We start from the raw sequence: 10560 nt of genomic DNA, 5'->3' as shown, positions 1-10560 counted from the left end.
AGCATGAAGTACTAGAAACCAATTCTTCCTGCGCTACTTGCGGAATCTTTCTTACTGGATCATAATCTTACTTTACTTTATACAATAGATGCTTAATCAGTGCCTTTAATAGGAAGTGGGAAATTCCAAATCCAATCAACAAGGCTTTGATTCTACCTCCTAAGTACTACCCAAATCACAGACAATCCAAATATCAGAACTAGGGGGCTGGGCAGAGAGGACAAATCATCTATTAGGGAGTGGGACAGAAAGTGGAAACATTACAAAGGAGCAAGTAGGCTCAGAACAGAGGGGAGAGTAGTACTGGGGAAACTCCCTACTGAGGACAGGTTTGCCACAGTGGATATGTATGTGATGCTTTTGTCCTCATGGGCTGGAATGGAAGCTGATAAAGAAGTTCAGATGCTACGTGTTGCTTAGGTCTGCTTTGTTGAAGCCTGTCTCTTTCAGAGTTCCTAAACACAATATTCCCGTGGCATCTAATCCCAGTGAGTGCTCCAAATCCAGGCTGTGTATCAGATGCCACGGGAAATTCTGCCTCAGAACTGAGGTTGGTTCAAGCATCTGGATGATGTCAAAAGTCCAAGTTGTGTGCTGGCCTAACCTGAAAGACCCTGTCTAGTTCTGGCCTTTAAATTCCTTCTGTCACCAAATCTAGAGTTACATGGCATCTGTACAAGCTAGGTAGCTGAGGCATGGGATCAAGCTCTATAAAGGAGCTTTTGGAGCTTTTGTTGTAGGTCTAGCTCCAACTTGGCACTCCAGTTCCAATAGCTGGACTTTCTCTCATCGTGTGTTCTGATCCCTGGATTGGGAACAAAGTAACCACTCTGATCTCACAAAGCAGTGGTTCCAGTTCCCAACTGGTGACTATTTTGCCTCCCACGGGACATTTTTGTTTTCACAACTGGAATACGGTGTTAGAGAGTAGAGGCTAGGGATGCTGCGAAGCATGTGGCAGAATCCTGTTCCGCCCAGAATGCTAACAGTGCCAAGGTTATGGAGCCTTCCCACCCGAGGGCTTGGTCTATTCCTTGCTTTTGCCAGCTCCCTAACCCTTAAACACAACAGTTCAAATCTATATGCATAAGCATCTCCTAGGGACCCGCACGTTTCCAATATCGACTACTGAGACCCATCCGTAGAGATGTAGGCTTAGGAGGTCTAGGATTGGGCTCAAAATTTGCATTTTAACAAGTACTCCAGGTCATTCTGAAGCAAGTGATACAAACCACAGAATGAGGAACACCGCCTTCAAGAGACTGAATCTTGCTTCCCAACACTAGCTTGGTATCTGAGACCATCTGCCTGCTGACTGGCTTTCCTGGCACAAACATTCTGCATGTAGGCACAGTGTGTTCCTGGACTCCATGTCAACCCGTTCACCCTCATGTTCCCTTGGTTCCTGTCCCCAGTCCAGCGAGCAGAACTGATTACAGATCTTGACAACAGAAGATACAGATTTAAAATAACTTGCCTGTTCCCGTGGACTTTATCCACTAGTGAAGGAGGACAAGTGGACAAGGGGAGAGGGTAGGTGGGGGCTTCTTCCCTATTCCTCCCATTCCACTTTATACAAACCCCAGCTAGATCACTGGGAGAGCAACGGGGGTTAAGAATGACTCCATCTAAATATTGTCATCTGGTCCACTCTTCTTCCATCTTGTACACAAGGATATCATGAGTTTTGTTTAAATTACTGGGAATTTCGTCTGCTCAGTGTTTGTTTTGTCTGCAGCCATTCCCAGAATTCTAGGGCAAGACTAGCTTCTTTGCCAATGGGGTGAACAGGAAGGAACCCAAGTAGGAATTGCCTTTTTAAAAAAAATCCCTTCCCACCCTCTTAATTACGTAATGCATGCATTTTTATAGCTTTTTTGCTCATTCCATTACCTGAGGTCAGCCACTGATATTTAACCCATCCTTAGCCTCGGAGGAGGACAGAGGAGCACTCGTCATATTGATTTCGCTAGCGGTGACATGATTTCCTCCTGTGCCACTCAAATTTCTCTCCTTCTTTAACTTGATGCTCAGTAGGTTGTGTTTCACTCGTCTTTGCAGATTGTTAGGAAGATGAGAATTAGCTTTCATTTTTGATGTTGCCATAGAGAAGACTCCATGGTAATGTTTATTTGCACAATCAACTTTTTCTTTTCCCCCAGAAATTGCAAATTCTTATGTGAGAGGCAGCTTTCCGGAGTCTGCAAGCATAGATTATCGTCTCTCTTTTGATGGTAAATTTCTTATATCCTCACCAACAATAAAATACTTACATATAATTTTGGCATGTCATATTGATTGCCAACTACAAGTAAGAATATTCCTTGATTTTAAATCTAGATTAATTATGAAAATTTGAGTAGCCACAAAAAATTATTGTGTACAAATTTATAGACCTCTTCTTAGGATTAAATGAGTTAATATTAACTAATATTTGTTGTGTAGTTAAGGTATGGCAGAAGCTTCCTATGTACTATTTCATTTTATACTTAAAACAATATTCCATGCAAAATGCTATAATTTCCCTATACCTCCAATTTGCACATGATAAAACTGGGCCTCGTAAAGTTTTCACCCCAGAGTTCTCTGCTTAGTAAGAAGTAGAAGGAAGTCTAAACCTAGGTCATCTGATTTCAGAGCCCATATAGTTAAAATGCTCTAAATGCAGCTTCCCATGGTGATGGTGACTATGAGAGCCTGTCACATATGATGTAGGACCCCAGTGCTTCCCTGTAACATGTGCAAGATTCCTGTGATGACGGTGACTATGAAAGCCTGTCACATACGATGTAGAACAGTGCTTCCCTGTAACATGCGCAAGATTCCCATGATGATGGTGACTATGAGCCTTTCACATATGACGTAGGACAGTGCTTCCTCTGTAACATGCACAAGATTCCCGTGATGATGGTGACTATGAGAGCCTGTCACATATGATGTAGGGCCCCACTGCTTCCTCTGAAACATGCGCAAGATTCCCGTGATGATGGTGACTATGAGAGCCTGTCACATACGATGTAGGACAGTGCTTCCCTGTAACATGCAGAAGATTCCCGTGATGATGGTGACTATGAGAGCCCGTCACATATGATGTAGGACAGTGCTTCCCTGTAACATGTACAAGATTCCCGTGATGATGGTGAGTATGAGAGCCTGTCACATATGATGTAGGACAGTGCTTCCTCTGTAACATGCACAAGATTCACCCGTGGATCTTATTAAAATGGAAACTCATAGACCACACTTTGACTAGCTAAGATAGGAGCATTTAAATGGATGTCTTGGTGACAGTGCTAAGATGCTACTGTTCATGTGGGCACTGGCTCACCATATTAATGAAGCTTAGGACCTCCAGTCCCGGCTGGAAAAGAAATACAGATACATAGGATGTGACTGTGCATATGGAATGTCTGTTGTGTTCTGGACATTGTACTAGACAATAGAGATAAAAAGTCAAATATCCCTTGCCTCTATCTGAAAGGAGCTTCCTACTCAGTGGCTTCTGACTGCAGTGTATATGTTCTTTTCTGTCCTGGGTGGGTGAGCTCTATCTCAATGTTGGTAACTGAACACTGCCCAATGGGTTTGATGAGGGAGATCATAGCTAGCTGTGCTCCCACAAAGCTATGACCATAGCATATCTCGTGATGCCATTTCCCCCTTGTCAGAAGGGTCCCTCCAGTATCATACATGCTCCCCATGATTATAAATTCTTCCTCTTTGCACTAAATGTTCCTAAATCTTGCAAAGATAAAAACATAAACCACATTCTCATCATATTAGTTATATAAATATATATGCACCCAATACAGGAGCACCAAGATTCATAAAGCAAGTCCTGAGTGACCTACAAAGAGACTTAGACTCCCACACATTAATAATGGGAGACTTTAACACCCCACTGTCAACATTAGACAGATCAACGAGACAGAAAGTCAACAAGGATACCCAGGAATTGAACTCAGCTCTGCACCAAGCGGACCTAATAGACATCTACAGAACTCTCCACTCCAAATCAACAGAATATACATTTTTTTCAGCACCACACCACACCTATTCCAAAATTGACCACATACTTGGAAGTAAAGCTCTCCTCAGCAAATGTAAAAGAACAGAAATTATAACAAACTATCTCTCAGACCACAGTGCAATCAAACTAGAACTCAGGATTAAGAATCTCACTCAAAACCGCTCAACTACATGGAAACTGAACAACCTGCTCCTGAATGACTACTAGTTACATAACGAAATGAAGGCAGAAATAAAGATGTTCTTTGAAACCAACGAGAACAAAGACACAACATACCAGAATCTCTGGGACGCATTCAAAGCAGTGTGTAGAGGGAAATTTATAGCACTAAATGCCCACAAGAGAAAGCAAGAAAGATCCAAAATTGACACCCTATCATCACAATTAAAAGAACTAGAAAAGCGAGAGCAAACACATTCAAAAGCTAGCAGAAGGCAAGAAATAACTAAAATCAGAGCAGAACTGAAGGAAATAGAGACACAAAAAACCCTTCAAAAAAATTAATGAATGCAGGAGCTGGTTTTTTGAAAGGATCAACAAAATTGATAGACCGCTAGCAAGACTAATAAAGAAAAAAGAGAAGAATCAAATAGACACAATAAAAAATGATAAAGGGGATATCACCACCGATCCCTCAGAAATACAAACTACCATCAGAGAATACTACAAACACCTCTACGCAAATAAACTAGAAAATCTAGAAGAAATGGATAAATTCCTCGACACGTACACTCTCCCAAGACTAAACCAGGAAGAAGTTGAATCTCTGAATAGACAAATAACAGGATCTGAAATTGTGGCAATAATCAATAGCTTACCAATATTAGTTATATAATAATGATAAAAGTTCCTTACTTTTCTTTCTTTCTTTTTTTTTTTTTTTTGAGACGGAGTCTTGCTCTGTTGCCCAGGCTGGAGTGCAGTGGCGCGATCTTGGTTCACTGCAAGCTCCGCCTCCCAGGTTGACAGCATTCTCCTGCCTCAGCCTCCCGAGTAGCTGGGACTACAGGCACCTGCCACCATGCCTGGCTAATTTTTTGTATTTTTAGTAGAGACGGGGTTTCACCGTGTTAGCCAGGATGGTCTTGATCTCCTGACTTTGTGATCCGCCCACCTCAGCCTCCCAAAGTGCTGGGATTACAGGCGTGAGTCACCGCGCCCAGCCCAAGTTCCTTACTTTTCATGTGTTTAATATTTTCTCCCAGTTTATAGAATATATTGATTGAGAATAAATTTTAGCCACGCATATCTATTAAAAACTTCATGATACACTTTGCTATTTTTAAATTTCTTATGCTCTTATAAAATGTGTGTTCTGGACTCATGTTGGCTTCCATTTCTTCCCTCTGGCTTCTGTTAGTTTAGGCTATGAGCAGAGATGGACAAGGTGGCTACTGTAATGGATCAAGGCTATGAGCATCTAGTGAAGTAGGATGTTAAATCTGTAAATATCAGAATGAATCCAAACTTATCAATTCAAAACTGCATTGTAAAACAGCTCAAAAAAGACTAAAAACACAGCTCTACACTTTAGGAGGCTGAGGCAGGCAGATTGCTTGAGCTCAGGAGTTGGAGACAAGTCTAGGAAACATGGAAAAACCCTGTCTGTACAAAAAAATATATTTTTTAATTAGCTGGGTATGGTGGTATGAGCCTGTGGTCGCAGCTTTTCAGGAGGCTGAGGTGAGAGGATTTCTTGAGCCTAGAAGGTAGAGGCTGCAGTGAGCTCTGATCACGCCACTGCATTCCAGCCTAGGTGACAGAGTGAGACCCGTTTCAAAAACAAACAAAGAAAAATAACTGAAAAAAACAGGTCTAAACGAAGGTGGCCAGAAAAGTAGCTCAACTTGTTCCTGTCTGGTTAAATACAAACATAAATGAACTACTTATATGCTTCAGTGGCTTCATAATGCTGAAAGCAAAGTCAATTGTTCTAGCAGGTTCTGGAAACCTTATCATATCATGGGGTTCAATGAAAATATCAAATCATAAATAAAATAATCAAATCTGAAAGTGAATCTTGTTTCAAAGACCTCAGAAGCCACTGTGTCGGAAGCTCTTTTCAAATACAGACAAGGGATTATTTGACTCCTTATCTCTGTTGTCTAGCACAATGTCCAGAACACAACAGATATTCCATATGCACAGTCACATCCTATGTATGTGTATTTCTTTTCCAGCAAGGACTAGAGGTCCTAAGCTTTATTTATATGGTGAGCGAGCCAGTTCCCAAATGAGCAGGAGAATCTTAGCACAGTCACCTACACACTCATTTCAATGCTCTGGCCCCTTATCCAAGCTAGTCAAAGTGTGGTCTATGGTTTTGCATTTTAAGGAGATCCCCGGGCGAATCTTGTGGCTGTCAAAGGCGGAGAAGCACTGCCGAAAAGGTGAACTAATTTATCGAGGTAGGCTGGCTATTTATTTATTTATCTTGTTGATGGGAAGATTCAAATTGACATACACAATCACCTCCATAAAGATTTCAGGTAAAAAACAAAGGTTTAGATATCAGATGTGTTTTACAATTACCACACCACTCTTTACTACAGCATCCAGTAGCACATTTCCAATAGACTTAGGTGAAAATTTCTAACTCATGAGCCTTCTGTCAGTACTTTTAAAATTGGATACTCAATAAATAGTGGCCAAATTGAATCTCTTACAGGCATCTCACTCAAACTGCAGTCATACTTTCCAATAGGCCCCATAAAAATCCTTGTTCTGGAGCAATCTAATATATTTATCCACCTCTTTAGACACTTAGGTAAGTATAATAATACAAGTTTGTGTGTGTGTGTGTGTATTGTGTACCTTGTGGCCTCTTGCCCAGTTTCTGCAACACCTGAAGCTGAGGCAAGTTTAATGTAAATAACGTCCAGCAATGTTAGAAATGTTGACTTTTATGTGTCCATCAGGAAAAAAGGATGAATGTTATTGTAGAGGAAATTTTCATTCTGGAAAAAATGCATACTGTTTGAATATTACTTTCATGCTTTCCACAGATATTATACACAGATATTATATTCCAAGGGTTATGTTTCAAAGTCATCAAAAATAGAAAATACCTTTTATATTTCTAGCTGAAAATAATAACAGTGATTAGCCTACCTTTGGAGAAATGTGATAAAAATACTAATGACCATCACAACTGATTAAAAGCATAAAATGTGCAATGATTTAAACTACATGTTCTTTATATGAATTATATGCATAGAAATATAGACACATTTGATAAATTCTATTTAAAGTCTGAGTGCTTTGGTAAATGATTCAGTCATCTGTAGATTGAAGGGATTACTTTTATCTGCCTTCATAGTGAGAATTAGATTTCTATTCTTTATAAAGCAGGGAATATAGATTGTGCATGGAGTAAAAGCATTCAATCATTATTAATAATGATGGTAGCGGCGCTGCAGAGGAGAAAGCCTGTCAGAGTAACGTATTCAGTTTTACATCATAATCAGAGTGTGTCGATCTCTGCTGAAGGCAGAATTAAAAAGCCCTTCAACATTTTTTAAATAATAGATGAAAAACATATCAGAGTCACTTTTAAAAATTTGAATTGACGATTCCACATAACAGGAAAAGGACCAAGAACATCTTAAAGAAATACTTCACGATGAAAGTGATGTTTTAAGTGCAATTTCATCAAGGAGAAGTTTTTCCAGAAAGTCTTTTGACCTCAGGAAGAATCTCATTAGTTTACTCTGGTAAATAGTTTCTAGTAAAATGAGAAAGAGTTGACTTTTTAAAAACAATAAAAAATTTACACGGTTTAATCTCATGTTGTGATTTCGAAAGTGCTGCTTGGGCCCTCATAGTTATGCATGTGTATTTATACGCATTTTCTTGGCTCACTCAAACGCCAATAAAATACTTTACTATCCAGGCTCCTTAAAAGCCAAATTAATTTCTAAAAGTGAGGATTGTATGTATTCTGTGAGGTGTGTGCAGGTGTATGCATGATATGTGTGTGTGGTCTGTGTGTGTAGTAGGTACACGGGGTATGTATATGTGTGTGTGGAGTGTATTGTGGGTGTTATGTGTGTATACTGTGTGTAGTATGTGGGTGGTGCATGGTGTGTATATGTGCTGTGTTTGTGGTGTATGTGTGTTTGGTGTGTATGTGTACTATATGTGATGTGTGCATGTGATATGTGTGTGGTGTATGTGATGTGTGTGTTTTGTGTGTGTATGATGCTGTGTGTGTGCAGTGTGTGTAGTGTTTGATGTGTGCTTGATGTGTTTGTAGAATGTGTGTGTGGTGTGGTGTATGTATGTGAGGTATGTGTTTGCTCTATGTGTGTGGCACTGTATGTACGTGTGCAGTGTGTGGGGAGTATGTGTGGGGTGTGTGGTGTGTGTGGGGAGTATGTATGGGGTGTGTGATGTGTGTGGTGCTGTATGTGTGTGATGTATGTGTAGTAGATTCGTGTGTGGTGTGGGGGTATGTGCACGGGTACATGTACTGTGTGGTGTGTGTGATGTCTGTGGGGGGGTGTGTGTGCACATGATGTGTACACAGTGTGTGTGGTGTCAGAGGTATGCATGTGTGCACATCGTGTGTGTACAGTGTGTGGGGTGTGTGCATGTATACATGGTGTGGGTGCAGTGTGGTGTCTGTGTGTGGTGTCTGTATGGGGTGTATGCATGTGCACATGGTGTGTGTGCAGTAGGTGTGTTTGTGGGGTGTGGGCAGTGGGTATGGGGTGTGTGTGTGCATGCGCACATGGTGTGTGTGCTGTTTGTGTGGTGTCTGTGTGTGGGGTGTGTGTGCATGTGCACATGGTGTGGTGTGTGCAGTGTGTGTGTTATGAGTGACTGCTTTTAGCATGTGGACATCAGTCTTCCAGACCAGCTTTCTCCATGTGTCTGGGAACATAAGAAACAAGTTTCTGCAATAATTGTTACACAGCTTTTCCAGAGAGGGACCAAATCTCTGTCGTGAGTGGGTATCTGCATCATTTCGCAGGAGGGAATGTGATGTCCTGGCTTGGCTCACACCCTCTGTGGGTTTAGGCACGGGTTCCTGCTGGATCCCTCACTGTGGCCAGAGAGGGAGGGCTCTGTTTCACCACAGGGCACCAGAAGAGGACTGGTGCGTGGGAAGACCAGGTAATCATAATGCTATTAATAATAGCAGTAATCATATTGTTTTATACATTGTATATGTCATAAGGATTTTAACTTTCATGTAACATAATTGCTGTAAAAGTTTCCCCAGTTTGTTTTGTGCTATTTACCTGGTGTTAAAATGTTTAAGAATTTACATATTAGGTACGTTAGGTTTATTCCTTTTTATATGGTTTCTGTTTGAAATTTTGGTTTTAGAAGACATTCATTCTCAAGGTCATAAAACACACACATCTAATTTTCTTTTTTCTCTCTCTTTTTTTTTTACATTTAATACTGGAATTAACTTTTATGTAAGGTGTAGGACCATGATTCAATTCTGTCATTTTATATTCTGAAATCATTACCCAATATTTTAATACCACAAATGGAACAATCGCTCTGTTTTGTGGGTTTAAAATGTTACCCTGTTACTAGATAAAATTACACTCAATTTCTGTGTTTTTAATTCTCTTTCATTAATGTGTTTATTTTTGTGCCATTTCAAATTTGTTTAATTTTGGATAGTGATAATAATCTTAAATATCTTATAGTAAATTTTATAATAATGGCTCTCATTGTATGTGTGTGTTCAATATATGGATTTAAAATCACATGTTCTTGTTCGAAAATATTTTTCTTGGAATTTTTATTGGAATTTGAGCATATTTTTAAATGATTTACAGCCAACTAAAGAGTTAATATTATTGAGTCCTGTCATCCAGAATGTGACATGCAAATTCCTCAGACCTCCTTTAATGCCATTTAGTCAGAATTAATATGTTAAATCAATATAAATTAGTATAAATGAGTATAACTAATGATTAAAATAAATTAATGTGTTTGGCTCCACATTTCTGTCTTCTGCCTTCTATCACTGATGTTTTATTCCTATCCTTGTTGTTTTCTATAGTTTCTTTTATTATGTCTTTTTCTGTCTTGTGATTTGAAAACTATATAACACATTGTAATGTTTTAATTTTTCTAATTTTTTGCTTTTAATTTTAACTAATTTTATTTTTTAGAGAAGTGCAGGTTCACAGCTAAACGTAGCAGAGAGTACAGACTTCTCATATGTCCCTTTCCCCACACACAGCCTCCCCACTACAGCTTCCTGCCTCACAGGAGCACACCTGTGACAACCAGGAACCTACCTTGATCCTTCATTATCACTCAAAGCTTACAGTGCACATTCACGTTTACTCTTCACGTTGTACGTTCTGAGTCTTGACAAAAGTATAATGGCAACGGGATATTATTCACTGCTAACAGGAGATGAACTATCAAGCCACAAAAAAATACATGGAGGAAACTTAAATGCATATTGCTAAAAGAAGAAGCCAATCCGAAAAGTCTACGTACTGTTCGATTCCAATTATATGACGTTCTGGAAACGGTGAAACTATGGGATCAGT

At 39.7% G+C, this 10560-nt stretch overlaps 5 annotated features.

Moving 5' to 3' along the window:
- Positions 1317 to 1924: an enhancer, noted in NCBI's record as "OCT4-NANOG-H3K4me1 hESC enhancer chr9:68425679-68426286 (GRCh37/hg19 assembly coordinates)". NCBI's record gives its function as "activates a minimal SCP1, AML or CMV promoter by ChIP-STARR-seq in naive and primed H9 embryonic stem cells {active_cell/tissue: H9 hESC(naive and primed)}" and the evidence as "EXISTENCE:reporter gene assay evidence [ECO:0000049][PMID:30033119]".
- Positions 2534 to 3142: an enhancer, noted in NCBI's record as "OCT4-NANOG-H3K27ac hESC enhancer chr9:68424461-68425069 (GRCh37/hg19 assembly coordinates)". NCBI's record gives its function as "activates a minimal SCP1, AML or CMV promoter by ChIP-STARR-seq in primed H9 embryonic stem cells {active_cell/tissue: H9 hESC(primed)}" and the evidence as "EXISTENCE:reporter gene assay evidence [ECO:0000049][PMID:30033119]".
- Positions 3340 to 3634: a silencer, noted in NCBI's record as "tiled region #11770; HepG2 Repressive DNase matched - State 25:Art, and K562 Repressive non-DNase unmatched - State 25:Art". NCBI's record gives its function as "represses a minimal TATA promoter and a strong SV40 promoter by Sharpr-MPRA in HepG2 and K562 cells {active_cell/tissue: HepG2 | K562}" and the evidence as "EXISTENCE:reporter gene assay evidence [ECO:0000049][PMID:27701403]".
- Positions 6200 to 6494: a silencer, noted in NCBI's record as "tiled region #9804; HepG2 Repressive non-DNase unmatched - State 25:Art, and K562 Repressive non-DNase unmatched - State 25:Art". NCBI's record gives its function as "represses a minimal TATA promoter and a strong SV40 promoter by Sharpr-MPRA in HepG2 and K562 cells {active_cell/tissue: HepG2 | K562}" and the evidence as "EXISTENCE:reporter gene assay evidence [ECO:0000049][PMID:27701403]".
- Positions 6923 to 7424: an enhancer, noted in NCBI's record as "NANOG hESC enhancer chr9:68420179-68420680 (GRCh37/hg19 assembly coordinates)". NCBI's record gives its function as "activates a minimal SCP1, AML or CMV promoter by ChIP-STARR-seq in primed H9 embryonic stem cells {active_cell/tissue: H9 hESC(primed)}" and the evidence as "EXISTENCE:reporter gene assay evidence [ECO:0000049][PMID:30033119]".

The sequence above is a fragment of the Homo sapiens genome, chromosome 9, assembly GCF_000001405.40.
Source record: "Homo sapiens chromosome 9, GRCh38.p14 Primary Assembly".
Lineage (NCBI taxonomy): Eukaryota > Metazoa > Chordata > Mammalia > Primates > Hominidae > Homo > Homo sapiens.
Note: the sequence above shows the minus strand (reverse complement) of the source record. Positions and strands in the feature narration are given on the sequence as shown.